At 45.2% G+C, this 23,790-nt stretch overlaps 1 protein-coding gene across 1 annotated transcript in view, besides 1 other annotated feature; it reads left to right on the top strand.

Annotated features, from left to right (window-relative positions):
* The window catches only part of ASIC2 (acid sensing ion channel subunit 2), a 1,143,682-nt gene that overhangs the window by 550,437 nt on the left and 569,455 nt on the right, over positions 1 to 23,790 (top strand). The gene's annotated exons all lie outside the window — the stretch shown is intronic.
* Positions 22,206 to 23,405: an enhancer, noted in NCBI's record as "BRD4-independent group 4 enhancer chr17:31909946-31911145 (GRCh37/hg19 assembly coordinates)". NCBI's record gives its function as "activates an origin of replication core promoter dependent on BRD2, P300/CBP, MED14 and CDK7 cofactors, and independent of BRD4, by STARR-seq in HCT116 cells {active_cell/tissue: HCT116}" and the evidence as "EXISTENCE:reporter gene assay evidence [ECO:0000049][PMID:35650434]".

Raw genomic sequence — 23,790 nt, 5'->3', positions numbered from 1 at the left:
ATGGCGCCAACTCACCAGATGTGGGAACTGAGGTCTAAAAAGAGTTCAATAGAAGTGAAATAAATTGGAAACTGCTGCTCCCATTGTCCTCCTGGCATCTCGAGAATCGTCTTTTATTCTCCTTTCTGTCGGCCAAATCAGCTCTGCTTCCAAGCTGGCCCCTGGGTCCGCTGTCTGATGGCAAATATTTCTGCCTGGAACAGCTCATTGGTGGTAGCTGAGAAGACTAATAACAGCGCCTGACAGCCCTTCATGGTTTTCCCTAAATATTCCTTCCTGCACAAAAAAGTTTAATAAAAATATGGATTAAAGCAGAGACTGAGAGCTGGAAATCAATGGCAGTCTCACGGCTGTGTCATTGTAATATCTCCTGTGCCTGTGCCACTCACCCCAGGAAAGTGGGAGCTGGTGAGTTCAGAGGCTTGCCCGAGACTCAGTGGGGACAGGGGGAGCATGCTAGAAAAGGGTGCTATGTCTAAGACAGGGGGATGAGCATGAATGCATGGCAAGGCTGCCAGGGACCCAGTTTGGGCTGAGGCTGGGGGCCGGAGGCAGGACGTGCTGTGTCTAAGGTTTGCAGCGGGATCTAGAATCTCCTTGGTTAGCGCTGTTGATAGTCTGGTCTCGGCCAGTGTTTTTTTACTACATGCAAATCAGAGTTCTTCATGCAGAGCAATAGTATACATTGTTGCCACCCCATAATTTCATATTTCTTTTTTTAAAAAGGTAGCTTTCAACACATGGAATACCAGTTTAGCAGCATAAAGCATGTTAATTACACAGGACTTTCTTTCTATTCATTAAAGCGGTCCTCAGAGTGCCTCTAATTGAGCTTGTTTTGCTTCCTATCTGTCCATTTGGTTCCTGAATGCCTTGAAAGTGATAAAAACTACTATCTTTAAAAGTTCTCTATAATTCAGAATTTATATAATTTAGATCAGGCAACTTCTCTCCTACCCTCTTTTTGCATATCACTGAGGGTTTTTAAACAGACCCTGCACAGGAGCTACTCAGGGAGAGCACTGTCATTCTCAGAGATGAGACGGGTCTTCCTTCCTGGGCTCCCCGCTGCAGCAGAGACCCGCTTCTGCACTGCAACCTGCAGCCAGGGCTCTTGCCATGCCGGCAGACACAGAAGGTATCACTTGCCCAACGTAAGATTATAAATATGGATTAGATCTGTGCAAGTTACAGACTCAATTATGAGAACATGCAGCTAAATCAGCCTCCAACTGTCAGAGTGTCAGGATTTCTGCTGGAGATTCAAAGTCTACCTGGGTTCCTCAGAACTTGAGAGAGAGAGAGAGAGAGAGAGAGAATGAAGTAATATATGTGTGTAGGGCAATTATAGAAGTAGAACAACCACTGACCCAGGAGATATGAGATGAAGGTTCTAGGCTGGGGTCTGATTCTAACTAGCTTTGTGACTTTGGAAACATCCTAATTCCTCCTTCTGAGCCTCATTATACCACTCAGGGAAAGAACGAGTTTTAGGGGGGAGATTTTTCACACTGAAGCCCCACCTTTGAAAAGCCTGACACCAAAGGCTTAGGTGGGTCTGACATGGGCCTCCCTTCCACCCTGAGACCCCTCCATCCTCTCCTTTTAGCGGTCTTTCCTGTGCCCATCTACCTGGCTCTCCTGGGCTGCTCTTCCTCCAGCCACCTCCAGGATGAAAATCTAACCCCCTCGCCTCTTTCTCTGAGGACCCAATTCACTCCACCCCTCAGGTGGAATGCCCTGTCAGTTTGGACCAAAAGTTCCTGGATTCTGTTGTGCTGTCATTTGTGTTCCATCCCTGTGCTCCACAACTGTTTGCCATGCCACCGTTGTGCACATTAACCTGAGTTCTCGTCTAGCTTCAAAGGGAATGGTAAGGGAGTTTCCAGCGGAAACCCTCATGAGCACCTAAACGTGGGCAAAGCTTACAGGGCACCCAAGGAGCTAGACCAGGCTGACACTTCATCACCACCTGCTCTCCATGTCCACTCCACCTCTTCCCTACCTTCTCTCCTTTCTCCTTTCAACAGAATCCAGGAAGTTCCTATAGGAGGAAGCCTCAGAATACAAACAACCAAAGATTTTGGAGTCAGGCCAATCTGGATTCTAATTCTGAATGGTTCTTATCACTAGGTATTTTTTGCATGCCTGGGGGCCCCTTCCTGTCTGGCTGTGGGCAATGTCCACCTCTAGTCCATTTCCTTGACACAGCCTCCAGGGCCAGGCTCCCTTTCAGCCTGCAGCAGAGACTCTGACCAGATAACTAGACTACATTTTCTAGGCCGCCTTGCAGCTAGGTAGGGCCATGTGACAGTTCCAGCCAATGGGATGTGGGCAGAGTGAGGCAGCCCACTTTCAGACCAGTCCTGAAAACCTCCCACGTGACCCTCTGCTTTTCCTCACAGTCTGTCTGCTGGATGCCAAGGTCCAAGACAACCTTGGAAACCACCTGATTTTGGCAGACTTGTTATCAGCCTGGGGCCCTGAGCACTCTTCCACTCCTTCTGCCTTCAGTAATGCTGATTAGACTTTGTGTAGAGTGGGGAATGAACTTCTATTGGGTTAAATAACTGAAATCTAGGAGTTTATCTTTTACAGCAGTTAATACTACTTTAACTAATATGTAACTCATATAGATGGGTCAGTCCTTTATCTCAGGGGAAGGATCTAGAATCCAGTTTTGACTTCTCCTTTTCTGACCCAACCCCAGCAGTTAACAAGAGCCCACATCTGGGTTTAAACAGGTGAGTGGCCTCATGTCCTCACTTTTCCATGCATTTATTTCTCTCTTGTCTGTTTCTCTCTCTGTCTTCTCTTCTGGGTGCTGGGCCAGATCAGCCAAGTCCCAGGCAGAGGAAGAGAGCCTATCAGGCCATGATCCAAAAAGCACCTTTTCCCAGGGGCTGCAACTAGCTGGCCCCTGTGCAAGCTTCTCTGCAGTTAATGGTGCCTTTGTGTTGGGATCATGCTCCTTCCAAGCAGTGTGTAAGCACATGCCACTGTCCTGGAGTCCCAATCAGGCTCTCTCCCCAGATGCCTCCTTAGTGGGGAAACCCATACAAGCAGCCCAACACCCCCACCACTCCCACCACCACCACTGCCACCTTGCTAAACCCCTGGTGCACACTAAACGGGGGCTCTGTGGATGTGTGTTGGCCCTGTTGCCATGACAACCAGTCACAGTGAATAACAACAGTGACTTCATCACTCTTGCCTGGAGGGCTGAGAAAAGCATGGCACACAGAGGAAGATGGGGCTTCTGGAGGTGGTGGGGAAATGCAGAGCTAGGAAGACTGGCATGGGATTTTGAAAATGTTCACACTCTGTGCCCTCCAGCTCCCTCTCTGCATAAGAGATATTGGGAAAGGGCTCAGGCCTTCCTCTTAGAGCCCCTGCGAGGATTCTAGAGTGGGCTCTGGAGGATAAAACACTGAGGAAAAAGGTACAAGGTAGAAAGAATGATGAGAGAAAGAGTTGAACTTCATTCCACAGCTATTTCTTGAACCCATGTTAAGCCCCATTGCTAGAGCTATAGCAATAAGTCAAGTGGATCCCACACCCAGGTATAAGGACCAGTCCATGCAAAGGTCCTGAGACAGGAGAGGCTTGTGTGGCTGGAGCCAGTGAGCAAGGACAGGGGAAGGGCATAGGAAGAAGTGAGACCAGAGAGGTCTTTTGTGGGTGATGCAGCTCATTGAGGGCCTTGTCCTATGAATGGGTGGGGGCATCTATTTATTTTGTGCTGCTATAACAGTACCACAGACTGGGTAATTTATGATGAACAGAAACTTTATTGGCTGATGGTTCCAGAAGCTGGAAAGTCCAAGATTGAGGGGCTGCATCTGGTGAGGGCCTTCTTGCTGTGTCATAACATGGTGGAAGGCATCACATGGATGAGAGAGAGAGAGCGAAGGGGGCCAAACTCATTCTTGTATCAGGAGCCTACTCCTGGGATAATGACATTAATTTATTCACAAGGGCAAGAGCCATCATGAACTAAGCACCTCTTAAAAGTCCCATCTCTCAACACCGTTGCATTAAGGATTAAGTTTCCAGCACAGGAACTTTGGGGGACACATTCAAACCACAGCATTTGGCTTCTGGCTCCAAAAATTCATGTTCTTTTCATATGGAAAATACCTTCATTCTATCCCAATAGTCCCAAAGGTCCTAACTTATTCCAGCATCAACTCGAAAGTCCAAACTCCAAAGTCTTATCTAAATCAGACATAAGGGAGACCCAAGGATTTGTCCTGAGATAAATTATTTTCTGTGAATTTGAAGAGAAGCTTTGAGACAAGCTGTGAGCCTGTGAAATTAACAAGTTATACACTTACAAAGTACAATGATGGGACAGGCACAGGATAGATATGTCCATTACAAAAGGGAGAAATAGAGAAGAAGAAAGGGGTAACTGGTCTCTAGTAGGTCCAAAAACCAGCAGGGAAAACACGAAGTCTTAAAGCTGGAGAATAATCTGCTTTGACTCCATGTCCTGCATCCCGGGCACACAAGGGTGGAGGTTGGGCCCCTAACGCCTCAGGCAGCCCCATTGCTATGGCTGTGCTAGGCTCAATCCACTCATTCTCTCACAGGTTGGAGTCTTGTCTTGCAGCTTTCCCAGGCTGGAGTTGCATGCTGGGTACCCCATGCCCATGACTCCACTAGGAATTGCCCTAGTGGGAACTTTCTGCAGTGACTTAACTCCAGGATAAGTTCTCTTCCTGGGCTCCCAAGCTCTCCAATACATTATTTGAAATCTAAGTAGAGGCCACGATACCTCCACAGCTTTGCTTTCTGCACACCTGCAGAAATAGCACCCTGTAAACACCACCAAGGTGTACCTCTGAAGCAGGAGTACGAGCTGCACTTGGGCCTGCCTGAGCCACAGCTGGGGCAACCAAAGAGTACTGTGCCAAAATGTGGGGAGCAGAGTCCCAAAGGTGGTGCAGGGCAGTGAATGCTGAGGTCCTCTGGGCACTTCTTTGGAAACCCTTCTCTCAAGGCCCTAGATGGAAAGGACATCCTGGAAGACCTCTGAAATGCCTTCAGGGTCTTTCTCCTATTCTTTTGGTAAATAGCCCCTGCCTCCCTTCTATTCTATTAGTCTCTTTAGCAAATGGTCACTTGTATACACCCTAGTTTGCTTTCCTAAACATACTCTTTCATTCTTTATGTGGCCAAGCTGGACATTTACAAAATTTGTATTTTCTGCTTTCCTTTTAATTATAAATCCCATCTTTAAAATATTTCTCTCTTCTCTCATTTTACTGTAAGTGGCCAAAAGAAGCCATACAGCACCTTGAATGCTTTGCTGCTTAGATATTTCTTCTACCAGATATCCTAGTTCATCACTCCTAAGTTCTGCCTTCCACAAAGTCCATTGTCCTCAGTGTCATCAAGTTATTTGCAACTATATAAAAGGGATGGCCTTTATTCCAGTTTCCAATGTCTTCTTCCTCATTTCTGTCTGAGACCTCTTCAGAATGGCCTTTACCACCCATATTTCTACCAACATTCTGATTATGACTACTCAAGTAGTTGCTAAGATTTTGGCTTTCCCTATGACTTTTTTCTTCTTATGAGCCCTCACCAGAATTGCCCTTAATTATGCCTAGTGTTCCATTATTGGAACACTAAGCATGTGGTAGTTATTTATATCCTAGCACTCAAGGTCATCACCAAGGTCTGATTGCAAAAATTAAAAAAAATTGCCACCTCAGGCATAAATGGGTTAATGCTTCATTTATTGCAATATAGGCTTTTTATAGCCTGACCTGCCAAATTCTGCCAACCTCTACCCATTACCTAGTCCCAAAGCCATTTCCACATTTTCAGATATTTGTTATAGCAATAGCCACACTTCTTAATACCAATTTTCTGTGTTAGTTTTGCACTGCTATAACAGAATGCCACAGACCAGGTAATTTATAATAAACAGAAATTTCTCTGGCTCATGGTTCTAGAAGCTAGGAAGTCCAATGTCAAAGGGTTGCATCTGGTGAGGACCTTCTCGCTATGTCATAACATGCAGAAGGCATCACAAGGACAAAAGAGAGAGGAAAGGAGGCCAAACCCATCCTTTTATCAGGAGCCCATTCCTGCAATAATTACGTTTCCAACACATCAACTTTGGGGGACACATTCAAATAATAGTAGGGCCTTTGGGGTTTCCCTCTGAAGAGAGGCAGGAACTGACTTACCCATGAAAAGGATTCCTGTGGCTGCTGTGCAGAGACAAGATGACAGGCAGTAAGGGTGGATGCAGAGAGATGCACGAGACCAGAGAGAGATGATGGGGCTTGGACAAGATGGCAGCAGTGAAGATGGCGAGAACTGTTAAGTTTCTGAACATATTTCAAATGAACAGCTCACAAGGAGAGAAAAAGAAGAATCAAGGGTTACAGGAAGGATTTGAACTTGAGCAACTGGAGAAAGAAACTGGAGAAAAAGGAGAGTAGTGGGAAGTCTGAGCCATCCTTTCTAGAAGGGTGGTAGAGCTCACCAACCCTCCCCAGAGGAGCAAGGATGCAATCAGAGGCCACTACCTTCTTCATCCCAAGCACAGGGAAGGCCTGTTCCTTGGGCTTCAGGTCTCCTCAGCACAGAACAGCCCTCTTCTCTTCCACTGCTCTGTTTGTGATGCTGGGAAGAGTATCCTGGGTTTGGAGCCACACTGGCCTGTGTTCAGTCCCTCACTTTACACATCCTATTATGCAGCCTCAGCCAAATGTCTTTCACTCTCCTAGTCTGTTTTCCTACCCATGTGCTACTCCACATCTGCCAGCTGTCATCTACATACACAAACACTCAGCCCCGGTAGTTCTGAGCCCCAGACCTGGTGGCCTTGAGGACCTCAGCACCCCAGGTGACCTCCCGTTATTCTGGAGAATGTTCAAGATAAGGCAGCCTCCTACATGTCCTGAGACAGGGCCATCCCTTCTTGTCCACCACAACCTCCTCATCCACATACCTCATCAGGCTCCTTTTCTCCCTTCCCAGCTGGCTGTGGCCTCCCCAACCTTCAGGGTTGTGTGTTGAGGGCAAGAGGTATCTTTTGTTCCCCAGACCACAAAATAGGCCTGTTCTTAGCAAGCACAGCTTCCTCTAGTTGTGCACCTAATCCCATGCACACCAAGGTTTCACTCACATTTTCAAAAAAATATTTCTTATGTGTCTCAAAGCATGATCTTACTGACCCTCTTCACAACCCTGTGAAGTAAACAGTGCAGATATCAAGGCTCCATTTTACAGAGAAGGATGCTTGTCCTGGGCTTGTCCACCCTGTGGAGAAGATGGGCATATGTGTGCATACAGGCGCAGCCCTTTGTTGATTGCGTAAGGTGCATGCACACTCACACAGTCCAAATGGTGCTATCTGTTTCCAGCAAGACACATTCCTGCATACCCTATAGGCAGTCTCAGACTCCCTGACAAAGTAGTTGAGGGAGGTTAGACTAGGTAATTTCCAAAACTGTTGAAATGAAGTCCTCCAAGTTCTGAAATCTCATTCTTTCTTGTCCCCCTTCTTTGATTGTGGGGCACATCCTTCCTTGTCCTGGAGGCACCAATGTCTTACAGCCCAGCACTGGTATTCACTGAACACTGAAATTTCAGGATCTGTAATAGGCTCTATACATGCAAGAAAAGATGCAAAGTCCATGACCCAGCTGGGAAGGAAAAGAGGAACCAGATGACTGACATCAAGTGGGGAATTGTCTGTCCATTTGCTTCTTCTCCTTGAGTAAAATTTTCTTTTTAAATCCTCTTTTGATACCAGCCCTGACATTTTCACATACAGTCTTCACCCAGGAAACACATCCTGAAGAAACACCACCCTTCAATTTCATGCACACTCACTGGGAACCTATTGGGTCTAATTACTGACATGCAGAAAGAAGCTCAAGCTCCATTCTTGACCCAAAGAATATGGAATAACCTGCAAACACTCTGTGTCAGAAACCAGCCCTGCTGGTGGAGGCCTCCTTGGACAAGGCTGTGGAAATATCCAGTGCCATCAGTCAGGGTCACAGAGCTCAGAAGGTTAGAGCAATTAGCCAATAAGAGAAGGCAGCCACATATTCAACCATGAGTTAAAAGCGAGATGAACCCCCTAATCAATGTGCAATCTGGAGAAAATCCCAAATGGTGTGCCACAGAATTTGAAATTTCATGAATAGTCATTTCTCTTTCTTGGAGGTATGTGAAGGTGTCTATTGAAATGAAATGCTCTCTGGGTGGAGTGGCACAGTTGGTCATTGTGGTTTCTTCTTTTTTAACCTGTCAGCATGGATTCATTAATTATTAAAGCAACATCACAAGATTGTGAGGTAATGGGACATAAAATAGATACATTCGGAGAAAGAAAAGGTTGTGGATAAGGAGTATTTGGAAGACATTCTGCACGTATTGAATTTTGGGAAAGAAAAGGAAAGAGGGAGAAATTAAGGTAAGAAAAATAGATGTTACAAACAGCATCCAAAACAAAAGGACAGAATACAAGGGGATGAGCCGGGAGACAGAGTTCTAAAACTATCCCTCCTGACACCTGCTGTGTGGCCCTGTGGGATCATCATTTCTGTCTGGAGCTTCGTGTTCTCACCCACAAACTCAGGGGTTGGGAAACGTGACTCTAAAGTCTCTTCCATCGCTGATTCCATCACGTATTAAGGTCAACTTTACCGCTAGGATTATTGTAATTACAGCAACAAAGGAGTTTTTATATAGAATTATCATCTATTTTATATAGAACTTTCTGTTTTGTAAACTCATTTAAACTCCTTATCCCACCTGATTCTTGAAAAAAAAAGCTAAGTCATATATATAGAAGTGAGAGGCCCATTTTGCAGAGCAGGGACATGTCATCTATACAGGGAAGCAGGATTGTCAGTTCTACATGTCCTATGCACTCAGAATATTGTTAGATCCAAGCACTTGCTGTTAAATGTATGTGCTAACATGCCTTTGAGGCCCTAAGAGAAAGAGACTTGGAGTCTACAGTAGGTGAAAAAAACTCTCCGCCACCTGTGGAGGCATTTCTTCCAGCCAGCCATCATGTCTCCTTCCCTGCAGGGCCCTGTGGGCATCCTCAAAGACTCATGAGATGTCCATGGGGACTCTGCTGACAACAAAGAAACATGTCTGCAGTGGTTTTCTGGGAACAGTCAACAGGTGTCCGCTGGGTTGATGGGAATGAAGCTCTGAGACAACGGAAGATTCTGGCTTCTCTGCCAGCCTGCCAGCCTGCCAGCCTGTCATGAAGCCTTTGGCTGTGTTGATCTGATCCGTTAGCCAGCAGTGAGATCAGAATTCTCTCATCTGACAAATGTTTGTAGAGCACCAGCTGTGACCAAGGCTGAAGCCAGAAATCCTGGGTCTTTTTGAGAGCTCATCCATGAGCTGTTTGACTTTGTGCAAGTTGCTAAACCTCTCTGGAGTACTCTTTTCTCATCTGTCAAACGGAGTCTATGTACCCGCTCTGGCCCTGCCCAGGACTCTTGTACAATTCAAATGAGACTGTGTCTATGAAAAGGCTTTCAAGAGCATAAGCCACTCTGTTAGCATAAAAGATGGCTGGTGGCAATGAATTTGATATTGACATGGAGGAGGAAGAAGAGAGGAGAAGAGGATGAAGGAAAAGGAAGGAGGAGGGAGAGAAAAAAGGAGGGAGAATAGGGATCTTTGAAATCTTGTCTCCTGGGGGTTGGGAGGGTCCTATCTACCTGACAAAGATACTGCAGGTTCTTTGTGTTAGACACACCAAGGCCGGGGGCGCTGATACTTTGGTGAATGCAAACTGGGAAGGTAGAAAAAGTGCAGGGAGTGAGGCACAAAAACACAGAGAGCAAATAACTTTATTCTTGCTCCTACCCTCTTACCTTTTCTCCCCCGTTATATCAAAATTGGTTTGTTTTCTCTGTGCAGTTTTGGAATGTAAAAATAATTTGTGCATTTAAATTAATCCCACCTTTAATTCTCTACCATCATTTTCCTGGGAGTTTAAATACGAATAACTGTTTGGTAACTGAATATGGACCTGCACTCTACAAACAAAATAAAGCATGTCACAAAGTCATTTCATGCCTACATGTTGATAATTAGAGGAAGGAGAAGAGAGAGAGGAAGAGAACCACCCCCAAACTCAATCACTGATGGTAGAAGAGCCTCATGGTTGGCTAGAGCAGTGAAAAGCTCAGAGCTCCAAGATTTGGCGGGTGGGTCTAAATTTAGAACTGATTTGTAGACAAATTGGAGGGAGTTCCGAGAAAAGCCACCAAAACAATTAGAGGAATGCAGCTTAATTGGCCCAGCTTGGCTAAGCAACTGCTAAGCAAGGAGCATTATAGAGTCTGTAGCCAGAGGAAACAGCATAGACTCTACTGAGGGGGAGGAACTATTTAGCTTGCAACAGAAGAGGCTCCAGAAAATAAGTAGAGCCCAGAGAAGGCAAGACACAGCTGAGGCCTGGGCCCAGCCTCTCATGGGAAGGCCCATTGGGTTTCTCTGGCCAAGAAGTTAAACCCCTTTGTGGGTCATTCCACCCCAAGTATTCCTGAAAACGATGCATCATTATTTAATTTAATTTTCACAACCCCCCTGCAAGGCAGATGTGTTTATTCCATTTTTACAGATGAAGAAACAGAAGCTCAGGGATGCTGAGTAACTTACCCAATATCTCTTGGTCATAAAATAAAGATTTAAACTCAGATCTGATTAGTTTTAAAGCCTATGCTCATCTCTGTGACACAATAGAACTTCCTGGGAGATGTGACAAGAAATGAAGAAACAGAAATAAAAGCCCCTATAGCTGAGGCTCCCAATGCTTCTTACGCAGTTAAAGGCTACATAAGTGGGAAGGCAAAAGAAGCCCAACTCTCTAAGGTGTACTCTGTCACACTGTAGTGCCTTAGAACAACCGGGCTCCCAGCCTTAGCCCTCTTGTCTCCTGAGATCTTGTTGCTCTTCCCAAACTAGCTGACTTCTTTCCACTTACTCCAGACCTAATAACCCTCTGACGTCCCAGCTGTGGCATAGCTGGAAGAAAACGGACTTCAGGTCAGACAGACCTGGTTTTCAATTCTACCTTTTTTAATTTTTCATTTTTTTGAGACAAAGTCTTGCTCTTTTGCCCAGGCTGGAGGGCAATGGTGCCATCATGGCTCTCTGCAATTTCAACTTACAGGGCTCTAGCAAGCTTCCTGCCTCAGCCTCCCATGTAGGTGGAACCACAGGTACTTGCCGCCAAGCCCAGCTAATTTTTTTGTTTGAATTTTTAGTAGAGATAACGTCTCGCTATGTTTCCCAGGCTGGTCTGAACTCCCAGGCTCAAGTGATCATCCCACCTGGGCCTCCCAAAGTGCTAGAATTACAGGCATGAGCCACTGCACCTCGCCATCAATTTTACTTTTTCAAAAAAAAATTGTGTGACCTTACCCAAGTTACTCAATTTCTCTAGGCCTGAGCTTACTCACCGCTTAAACAGAGCTCTTTTTTTTTTTTTTTTTGAAATGGAGTCTCCCTCTGTCGCCCAGGCTGAAGTGCAGTGGTGCGATCTAGGCTCACTGCAAGCTCCACCTCCCGGGTTCACGTCATTCTCCTGCCTCGGCCTCCCGAGTAGCTGGGACTACAGGCGCCCGCCAGCACGCCTGGCTAATTTTTTGTATTTTTAGTAGAGATGGGGTTTCACCGTGTTAGCCAGGATGGTCTCGATCTTCTGATCTCGTGATCCGCCTGCCTCAGCCTCCCACAGTGCTGGGATTACAGGTGTGAGCCACTGTGCCCAGCCTAAACAGAGCTACTTAAGTCTACCTTCCAAAATTGTTGGAGGAGCAAATGAGATAGTGAGCATAAATGTGCTTTGTAAATTGCAAAGTACTGAATGCAAGAGGATGTTATTGGTGATGGTATTGTAAGTTGCATTCTAAGTCACTGTAGACAATGTTGACCTTCACTGGGTTTCTCTCACTTCAGACTTGCACCTGATCCAGCCATCCCCAGAGCCGTACCTGCTCTGGTATGAGATGGGGGTTGGCCTAAAATCAGAGCAAACCAGAGACAGCTCTGAAAGCAGGCAGCTGGTGAACACCAAAGTTAAGACTGAGTCAGCCATCTGATAGATGGCCTACGTCAGAATAGGGCAGAATGCCAGCACTGGGACACATAGTGGAGGGCCAATGGCAGCCTGGAATCCAGAGACACATGAAACAGACAATGCAAATGGTGTAGGAAACGCGAGCTAAGATCTAGCAAGATGACTTGCATCTGAGACACAGCAGGATCTTCCTGATGGGACAGTGTCCAAAGATGGGACATTGGGACTTGGCTGGAATAGGGATGAAAATTTGAATAGAAAATAATAGTACTAGGTGCTGTCTGGCCCTTACAGAGGTCTTTAAAACTCCCTGAATATTGATTTATTAGCAGGCCTAGGGAATGGGGTTTTCTAAGGCTGTGCAGATACTGAGAATAATCTTCAGTCTTTGGAGAAATGAAGAACCATAGCAAGTGTAGCAGTCAGGGAGGTGCACAGACTAGGAATCAAGAATCTGAGGCTTGTTCTTTCTCACTGTATTGACCTTTTCAAAATTACTTATTACCCTTCAGTTCTCTCTTCTATGTGCAAATTACACAAAAGTCAACACTTATTCAGATGAAGTGCCTACTGTGTGGCTGGCTTTCGTCTAAGCACTTCACATGACTGACTCTTGTCCTCCTCAGAGTAACCCTACGGGAAGCTGCCATCATTATCACCATTTCACCAAGGCCCAGAGAGAAAACCTGACCAAGAGGCAAAGCTGAGATTGCAACCTGAGCTTTCTAGCTCAGAAACCCACCCTTAGCCACTGCATGCTGCAACCTTTTAAATAGATCCTGAAAGAGATGATTTCTGAGGCTCTTTACAAAAGCACAAAACATCAGTGATGGGCGAGCCCTTGAAGATAACCTAGCCACAATGTGCTTTTTTTTTTACCAATGAGGGGACCCAGAGAGACAATCAAGTGCCCAGCAGTGAACAGGCATCTCGCTCTAAAAATCTGTCACTGCATGATTCAAAACCACTGGAAAGAGGAAAATTCATTTATCAGCCAGATGTTCCATGGACATCACAGCTGTGCCTGCACATACAATTGCTGCATCTGCAGTGGATGTTTTGATATTATCAAAAACCTTTCTCCGTCCTCATCTCAGGTCCTTTGTATATCCTGGCCACAAAACCTAAGCAGTGATTCTTGACTTTTGTGGTTTGCAGATGCTTTTGGGGATCTTGTGAAATGTGTGAACTACTTTGCAGGTAAAAATAGACATACACTTCAATTTGGGGAAAGGGGATTATGAACTCTCTGAAACTCTCCCGTGAATCTCTAGGGGTCTGTAAGCTGCAAATTATAAAACTTCTGCTACAGATAATGAGAACACCAGAGCACAGCAGAATGGAAAGAAGAGATGGATTCTGAAGAGTCTCTCAGGAGATGGAAGGCCAAGCAATAGGGTCAAAGACCTTCTACTCCCTGAGTTGAACAGAAGACAGAGGAGAGGGCAGTGGAAGGTCTTTGATTCTGCTACTTGACCTTCTGTCTCCTGAGAGATGCTTCAGAAGCTGCTCTGTTCTTTCCATTCTACCCTCCTCCTTCACTTTGGTCCGGGGTAGAGATTTCCTGCTCGCAGTCCAGTCCTATCTACACCCATCCTTAAGCTTACTCACCACGTACACAGAGCTAATTAAGTCTACCTTCCAAGATTGTTGGAGAAGCAAATGAGATAGCAAGCATAAAAGTGCTTTGTAAATCGCAAAGTGCTGAATGCAAGTGGATGTTATCAGTGATGGTATTGTAAGTTGTATTCTAACTCACTATAGACAATGCTGACCCCCTCTAAGCTTCCCTCACTTCAGGCTTGTGCCTGACCCAGCCATCTCCAAAGTTACATATGCCCCGGTATGAGATAGAGGCTGGCCTAAAATCAGAGCAAACCAGAGAAGGCTCCGGCAGCTAGTGAACACCAAGGTTAAGACTAAGTTAACCATCGGACAGATGATCTTTGTCAGAATAGGGCAGAATGCCAGCACTGGGACACAGAGCAGGGGGTCAATGGTGACCTGAAATCCAGAGATACATGGAACAGATAATGCAAGTGGTATAGGAAAAGCAAGCTAAGATAGAATGGAAGTTCCATGAGGAGGGGCCCTCCTTGGTCTTGTGTGCTGGTGTGTCCTCAGTGCGCACCACAGTACCTGGCACGAGTCCAGAGCCCAGAAGACACTTGTGGGATGATGGTTTGTTTACTGTACAGGAGCCAGAGAATGGGAAACTTTGCACATTATCAATTTATTCTTGTCCTTGATTTTTCCTTCTTAGGTATAGGAGCAGAGGCAGGGCAGGTATGGCAGATGACCTAGGTTAGCTCAGGTTTCTCTAGGAACAGACCCTGAGATGAGGATTCTTGTGTGAGTGATCTGTTGAAGGTGCAAGCAAACTAAAACAAAAGCTGTAAGGATGTGAGGGAAGGGGGACCGAGCAAGGAGAGGGGCTCAGCAAAGCTACAGTCATTCTCAGCTTGATCCCAGGAATATCAATATGTACAAATAGCATCACAGAGTGGCCCCACTTTGAGACAAGGGCATCAGGCTTTTGTGCCCCTATATCAGTCAAGACATAAGATCTGAGACATTTCCTGGTGAGGTGGCTCCTATCAGGGCCAGCAGAGAACAATTCTCAGGAGACAGGTGCAATGGTGGGTTGTGAGACCCACTACCCCTAGCAGCTGGGGGGATGGCCCAGAAAGGATATTGGAGTGAGACACCAGCTGTCTGCTACATACTCTAAGTGCCAACTCAGATCGATTGATGGCGGCTGCCGACAGCTTTGCACTGAGAAAAGGTCAGAAGCCAAGCCTTGGCTCAGCTGAAAAGCACCAAGATGGATTAACCATGTCTGCTGGGGGCAGAGAAATGCAGCCCCAGTGGCATCTATTTGCCATTCTGAGCCTAAGGGGAAACTGGACCCCTACTAACTATCAGAGGTCTAGAGTGGTCCAGGGACTCTGGGGCAATTTTATGTGTCACACAATTCCGAATCTTATCATATACCATGTCAGACAGTTTCCTGTGTTTTGATTGACTATAGGTAGAAACCAGACAGGCAGCCAGTAACTGAAAGACAGCTTTCCCAAATGAAAGCAAAGGAGTTACTTAAAAGTAGACAGCCTTTTAGCAGAGGATGGCAGTCACCCTCAGAGCCCAGAACAGCAGAATATAACAGAAAACAGGAACAGAGGTGTTAGGAAATAGACATCAAGCATTTGAGCACGTTGGAATGAAGCCAATGACCAGACTGAAGGCTAAGACCCCATGTCTTGGGCTTCTCTACCCCCACAGACCCTAGCAATGTGCCAAACACACACAGCTGTTCCTGAGTACCTATGGTTTAGATGTTTGAAATCAAGTAAACCAAGCTTTGGAAACCAACTCTTGGAGGGAGAAGACTACAGCTCCAGAATTTCTAGAAATTTTCTCCCATGCAGACCTGTGGACACTCTAAGTGAAAACGGCAGCCTGGCTTCCTTTGTATGTCTCAGGATGTGATGAGTGAATCTCTGTTTTCATCAGTTATCATTATAGACTTTGGTGTCAGGAGAGATTGGGGTGTGGTGTAGAGATTGGAGTGTGGTGTAGAGATTGAGGTGTTGTGTAGAGATTGGGGTGTAGTGTAGAGACTGGGGTGTGGTGTAGAGACTGGGGTGTGGTATAGAGATTGGGGTGTGGTGTAGAGATTGGGGTGTGGTGTAGAGATTGGGATGTGGTGTAGAGACACAGCCATTGAAGGTGTTCTACCTGAGCTTCATTTCATGAGCCTAGCAGACCTGGTAGTAAATAAGAAACCTGTTCCTCACCATGATGAAGTACCTGTGCAGGGGGCTGGGATGACTCCCCCTTTGCTTCCTCAGGCCAGGAGAGGTCACTGGAGGCTCACAATGGTCCTAACAAAGAGGACAACAATGACAATAGCAACAGCTATGGCCACAAATATCTACTACTGCCTTAAAAGGTATAAAGCACTTTCAATCCATACTGCCCCTTGATCTTCAAAACAACTCAGTGAGGTAGGCAGGGGAATGAAAAGACCCAGGATGTTCCTTGGTGGGGTGGAAGTAGGGAAGGATATAGGAAAGGAGGGCATGTCCCACAGGGTACCATGATCCACCCTCTTTTCCTGAATGAACCCAGAGTCGCACTTCTAGGGAAACCAGGAACTGAGCTGGTGGTTGCAGCCACAGTGGGACACAGCATGCTCTTTGAGGGAGGGACAAGTGAGAGATTATATGATGGGTGGACCACCCCACAGAAATGCATCCTCCCTTGGCATTAATCTACTGTGTGTTTGCTTCCTCTTGCTTGGTCATTCTTAGCCTTCAAAATTCAGTTCAAATAGAATTATCATATGATCTACCAATTCCACTCCTGGGTATGCACCCAAAAGAACTGAAATCAAGCACTGAAGTAGACAGTTGTACAGCTGTGTTCATAGTAGCCAAAGGGTAGAAACAACCCAAGTGTCTATCAACAGTTGAATGGCTAAACAAAATGTGGTGTGTGAATATATATATATGAATATTATTCAGCCTTTGAGAGGAAGGAAATACTGATTCGTAATACAACTTGGATGAATCCTAAGGACATTGTTCTGGGTGAAACAAGCCAGACACAGAAAGATAAATACTGTGTGATTCCATTTATGTGAAGTGTCTAGAGTAGGCAAATTCACAGAGACAGAAAGTAGAATCGAGGTTTCCAGGAGCTGGGGTGATTGGGAAATGGGGAGTGTTTGCTGCACGGGCACAGGGTTTCTGTCTGGGATGATGAGTGGTTTCTAGGGATGGATGGTGGTGATGGTTGTATAGCATTGTGTATGTACTCAATGCCTCTGAATGATACACATAAGAATGGTTAAAACAATAAACTTTGTTATGTTTATTTTACCACAGTAAAATAAATAAATAAGAAATAATTTCAGTTCAGGGGGCTCATGGCCTTCTGAAAGCTTTCCTGGCCCCAGCCTGATAGTGTCAGCATCCTCTGTGTGCCTGGGAACATACTGTACTCGTGCTGTTAATGTTCTCAACTGTCTCCACACTAAGCTCTGAGCTCCTGGAGACTATGGTCTGTGTCCTCTTCTACTTCCCTTCTCTGGCTCTGGCCAAGTGCCTAGCACACTGTGACAATTTGATAATTCTATTTTAAAGCAATGAATCTGATATACGTGGCATGCTTAAAATGTATAGTATATGTTTATTTAAGTAATGAAATAGATATTAACTGTGATCCCAGTGGTGATTGGTTGGATAAACTTGGCTCAGGTTCTTCTTAAATTTATCTGATTCTTCTTTCCATTGTCATTTTGAATGGGCCACACAGCAAGTGAATTGACTGAGAAATGGTGAACCTGATATAGCATAAATGATACACAGTTTACTAACAGTTCTTAACACATGCCAATACCCCTACTGGAGAGATTCTTCTCCCACCACACTTTTTTAGCTTAGTCAACTCAGAATCTTCCTTCAGGCTCAAACATCTCCATATCTGGGGAGCCACACTTGACCCCTTGTATAAGGTAACACCTTCCCTCTCTGCCTTGGACTGAAATGAGCCTGTGATGCGATCTTGTCTCCTCTTTCCTCACACTTGTCTCACGGTGTTATATTACTTGTTTACTCTTTCTGTCTTCCCCATTCGACAGTAAGCTTCAAGAGAGCAGGAGTGCTACCCTCCCAGCATCCAGGAAAACTCCTAGCACATGGAAAGTTCTTAATAAATATGGATCGGAAGAATGGCTCAAGAAATAAGGAGTGAATGAAGGCAGTGATGTGGACATGAAACTGTACAAAGTGTGTGGCCAATCCCTCTTCACCAGCTGAAAGGGCCCTCAAAGATCACTGAATCCAACTCTTTCATCAAACAGATGAGGGAGGTGAGGTCCAGAAAGAGAAAGTGAATTTACCTAAGGTGGATAACAGAGCAACAGACAAACAAGAACTGGAATCTAGGTATCTCATGATTCTGTGCTATTTCCATGATAACATTCTCCCTGCTCCTCTCAAGGTCAAGATTTCTGTTGTCCAAGATGATATGTGATGTCATACCTTTGAGATTAAGCCATAAGCTCACATCATGCATGGTCTTTTGAAAATACCATTCATTTTAACAGAGACATTCTGAACAACAATGCATTAAACTAAAATGTCCCTTGCATAGTGGAGTTTAAAGCATCAGACTTGGCTGGTGGGGAATAGAATTGGGAACATTTTACAGTCCCAACTGGTGTTCCTAAATCTTTATAATGAGGCCAGGCTGTCCTCTTAGGAAAATCTGAATCAAGTGAGACTGTTATGAAGTCAGCTGAGATCTACTTGCCTGAAGTTATGTTACATGGTCAAGGCTGGGAGCGAGTGGGAGGAAAATGGTGAAGAGGGTGAAGGATTAGATAGAAGATCCCCCTGAAAGCTAGAAAAGGAAAAAAGAGTAATAATGTGCCCATCCATTTCTAATTCTATCAAGGGGAGAGAGTAGACAACTTCAGTCCTTAATCACAACCACCTTGAGTTTGAGGAAACTGAGTATGCTTCATTCATACAAGTGGACAGAGGTCTGCCTTCTTCTCTGCTCACTACAAGTGTTATGCCCAACCTCAAGGCATGAATCATGACTGGCCTAAGCTAATCATGGCAGTCAATCACGGCCAATCTAAGCCAATCTAAGCCAATCATGGCAGTCAATCACCTTCTTGTCAATCACTGGGCAAGCGCTGAGCATGTGAAAGCCAGTTTTTGCTCTCACTAAACTCCTTTTTCCTTACAACTCTGATGTGTAAAGACATCATGTGTACAGCTGTGGCAGCCATCTTAGACCTTTGAGGCAAGATATTTCCAGCACAGAGGAGCACAAAATAGCAGGACTGTGAGTTCTGAATGACATCACTGAGCCACTGAACTGACCCTGAGATCTTCTGTTTCTCATTAAGTGAAACGCTAAATACCCATATGGATTAAGCCATTGTTAGGGTTATGGTTTAAGCCAAGGGTCAACAAACATTTTCTGTAAAGGATCAGATAGTAAATATTTCCAGCATTGCAGGCTATATGATCTCTGTTGCAAGTACTCAACTCTGCCATGGTAGCACCAAAAACAGCCACAGACAATACATAATCATGTAACATATGTAAGTGAATAGGCTGTGTTCCAACAGAACATTATTTACACAAACAGGCAACAGGCTGGATTTGGTTCATGAGCCATAGTTTGTGAACTTTTGGTTTAAGTCATTGATACATTAATCTCACAAATATTTATTAAGAACTTCCTACATGCCAGCCACAGTGCTAGATGCTAGGTGTGGCTCAGTTATAGCTGAGATCAAAACAGATCAAGTCTCTGCCCTCTGAAGCTTATATACTGCTCAGAGAGGTGTATAATGAACAAATGAGAAAATAAAGAAGATAATTGCAGATCGTGGTAAATGCTGGATGTAAGTAGCATGATGTGATGGATAATTTTGAGGTCGAGCAGAGTGAAAGGGATGGAGCCAGTTTAGATGGATTGGGAGAGAAGGCAGGTCTAAGATGAGATTTGAGACCTAAAGAATAAGAAAGAACTTACTACATGAAGAAACAGGAAAATCCTGTAACAAGCAATAATAATTGAAGAAGCAAAGCAAAAACTCAAGACAGGAATACATTGGGCATATTCAGAAAGCCAAAAGAAGAATGACAAGGGAGACAAGAATATGTAGGGTCCAGATCACGCAGGGTCTTGAAAGCCTGGGAAGAACCATGGATTTTACGCCAAGAGCAATGCAAGGTTCTACAGAGGGAAGTGGCATAGTGATGATTTACATTTTTTTAATGATCAATCAGTGGGTTGTAGGGAGGCAAGAATGAAGCAGAGATGCTAGTTAGGAAGCTATTGCAATAACCCAAGAATTTTATAAGACGTATCTCAATTCACCCGAGCAGGTTACAATAGGTCCCCCTGCCCCCCTAGATGGTAAACTCAGACTGAGAATATAAAATATGAGAACCCAGAAGCTCCAGAAAAAAGCTCCAGAAAGATAGACTGGCTTCTTTATGAGGATATTCATGAAATCACAATTCAATAAGATCCTGAGACAGGGTGACTTTGCGCCAGGAGCCAAGAGCTGCGGTGGACACTCTTCTTTGCCAGCTCACACAGAGCCATGTTCACTTGCTTCTCCTGAGTCTAGGAAGCACTGGCACAACTTAGAGGTGGCTGAGTGCCCCCTTCTGCACACCAACTGAGACAAGGTATTGCGGAGGCATGCATGACCACTCCGCCATCCTTCTTCCCTAGTTACTTAGTCTTATACTGTGGCACTACGCTCCAAAAAGGACACTAGTGGAGAGGCTCGTCAGACTGTATATTTATTCCTCACTTTGTTCCACAGAGGATTTGAAGCAGCTTTCAAGACATATATGTAATAAAGTAAAAGATATAAATTAAATATATCAAGACTAAGAAAACTACAAATTAGATAAAACATCGAGACTAGCGGGCAGAAGGGAAAACTAAAATGCAGGTTATAACATCCTACCTGGTTGCCATAACAAAAAAGGATAAGAAATCCCATCTGTTAGCTGATTCCTTCTGTCTTATTTATATTCCCTGCAGCATTACACGGTTTCCCATATTGCAACCAACTCCTGGGGCTTTCTGGCCAGTCACATGGTGACCACATGCCCAGTGCAGGTGCCTCACTCTCCCTGCTTGCCTCTGTGGTAATCACAAAAACAGTCCTTTCTCCACTCTGGGTGGGAAGGAAAAAGTGCAGCTGGTATCTGCAATTTTCTACTCAGTTGATTTGTTCTGGGTTTGGTTTAACTTAATGATTTCTCAATAAGATTTGAATTTCTTCAAATTAATAAAGGCAAAATGCTAACAAGCAAGGGAATGGAACCAAGACATGAGATCCCATCCTTCAGAGACTGGGGAAGGCATGTAAGTTCCCAGGGCCAGAGGTCCTGGGACTGGGTCAAGGACACAGTGAGGCTGACAAGGGAGTACATCCATGAGCCACGTGGCCTGCCTGGCTCTTGCCCTGATTCAAGGCTAAAAGCCCATTAACCTGGACTGGAGAGCTCAAGACTCAGCTCAGGCTCAGGCCACTTTGAACAAATCATTTTCCCTCTCCTTCCACCCCAACTAAATTAGATTGGCTGGTTTATTAGGAAGGGTTTAATCTCTAGGCTGGAGGGAAGGAGGCTGTAGCCCACAAGGACAGAGATTCTGTGGATGGCAAGTGAGGGCCCCAAAACTCTTCTCCAACTGAAACTACCTCATGGACCCTCCCTCCTCTCTCTGTCTGCTCCTTCTCTGACGTTTTCCCTCCATCCCCCATCATCCCATCAATCCACCATGGTGCCTCTGCCCTGTCTTTGTCTTTAGGCCATCGGTGTCTCTCTCATGGGTCTTTCTTGCCAGGCAGTTCCTGTTAGTGTCCCCTCTCCGGCTCAGCACTCTCAGGCTTCCGAATCCTTCTCCTACGAACTGTCTCCACAAGCAGCCTAGGCAGGAGGGGTCACTCCATCACCAGTACCTCCTGTCCCTCCACAACCCATCAAACCCCACCCCAAGATCTGACTTAGATGGATCTCCTGCCACTCTCTGATCATCCATAAGGTTCTTCTGGCTGTTCTCAGCTAGCAGCCCTGGTTGGCTGCTCCAGGTACAACATCTGCCTCACCTGTGCCAAGTCACATGCCACCTCCCTCCCCTGAACCTGATGGAGGTGACAGGGCTCTATCACAACAGACACCCTGGGATTCTGAAGTAGAGTGACAAGCTCCTCCCAATTTGCCCAGAACTTACCCAGTTTTAAAATTAAAAGCCTCAGATCCTAAAAATCAACTCAGTCCTGGGGTAAACTGGAATAATTTCAACAAGAGCCATTCATTCTCTTGTTAGCCACCCCACAAGAGAACTAGACTCAGACTCTAAGAACCAGCTTCCAGCCCCAGCTCTGCTCCATACTAACTGTAATCATTGACAACACATGTCACCCTCTCCATGAACTAAAGATGGCGATCCCTTCCCTGCCTACCTTTGAGATGATGGATGTGAAATGCTTAGTGAACACTAAAATACTGGACAGATGTAGAGGGGGTTTTATTATCCAGTGTTTATGACCTAGAGGCCAGAGTATTAGCAATTTCAATTAATCAAATAAATGGAAAAATAAATCGGTTTTATGAAAACGGATTTCCGAACTGTGCCAAGAGTTCAAGGCTAGGGCACAGGAAAGAAAACAATCCAAAAGGCCTGTAGCTCTGGCTGAGATAAACCCAAGCAGAGGCTTGCTCATCCCCACCCTCAGCTCCAGGAGCCCAGAACATGTCTGCCTGGGACCTACACACTCAGCCCCAGGATGACATCTCATCAAGATCCTTTCTCAACCACAGAGAAATCAAATGCAGTTTATTCTTAATTGCCCATGCTGTGACTGAATAAAATGAAACCGTGGCAGCTGAGCATCATTTACCTGGGGCTTCACAAGCTGCTTGAGTGCTCACCCTTGAACATTGGTATGTTCGGTGCTATGGGCTATGAAATAATCTGGGCATGTTCTGACATGCCCTAAGACAGTCCCCTCTCCTTCTATAGTTTCTATTATAGAGATTTTCCCTAAACACCGATGCAAAACACTGGCCTAAACAGGACAGGCATTGTCTTGGAGTTTGGGTCCTGATGCTTAGAGCTGAATACAGACATAGCTATAATGGCTGGCTTGGCTCCCTTCCTCTGTTCTGGAAGGAAGGTCATGGTTGGGGCATACATTCAATGTGTTTCATAGATAGCACAGTGCCCACTGCGAAGCAACTTCTCTTCTAGGGAGGCAGGCAGAGAAATGTCCACACATAAGCATTTCTAATATAAGGCCTTCTAAGTCCGCAGTAAGTAATGGGGCCATTTATGCCAACATGAGCTTAGGCAGGGCAAGTGACTGACAATCTCATCAATAATTAGTGAGCAAGGTTTGCTGTGGACAATTTGTAATGCAGATCATCTGTCCCTGTATAATTAAGAATAGATTGTATCCAGTTCTGGTTTATGGGTTTATGGCATTGAGGCCTTGTGAGTCCAATAAAGAAAAACAACAATAAAACTAATAGCTTCCTCTCCCCCTGCTCAGCTAATCAATGAGAAAAGAAGCCTTACCTTAGACCAAGCCGCTGCTGGACTGGACCTTTTCAATGAGCCTTTGTAGAAGTCACCAGTGTCCCCACACTCATTGCATCTGGAGGGCAGGGTGAGAGCCAGCCCAACCCCACCCAGCCCCACTCATTTGCAGCATTAGTAACGTTATTTGCTGATGAATTCCACTTTGAAAAGCCAGCAACAGTGAGAACTACAGGGCTTTGCCTAGATTAAAATAACAGTGCCCACTGCTTTTTAACATGACAGAGGTTTTTAAAATAAAGAATGTTCTTAATGTTCATCTCTTTGTTTTATAAATGAGAAAATGAAGCTTTGGAATGTGTATGAGGGGGTGTATGAGTGTGTATGAGGGGGTGGGGTGTGGAGACCAATCGAGTACCTTGTTGGAGAAACAAAAATTGAAATCAGATCATTTTGATTCCATCTGTGAAATAATTGCAAATATGTACTGAATATTTACTATGGCAAGCCACTGTTCTAAGAGCTTGAGGTACATCCTTTAGTTAATCCTTGTGACAACCCTATGAGGTAGTTACTGTTACTATCCTAACTTTGCAGGTGGAAAA

Source organism: Homo sapiens, chromosome 17 (assembly GCF_000001405.40).
Source record: "Homo sapiens chromosome 17, GRCh38.p14 Primary Assembly".
Taxonomy (NCBI): Eukaryota; Metazoa; Chordata; class Mammalia; order Primates; family Hominidae; genus Homo; species Homo sapiens.
This window is presented reverse-complemented; position numbering and strand designations above follow the sequence as displayed.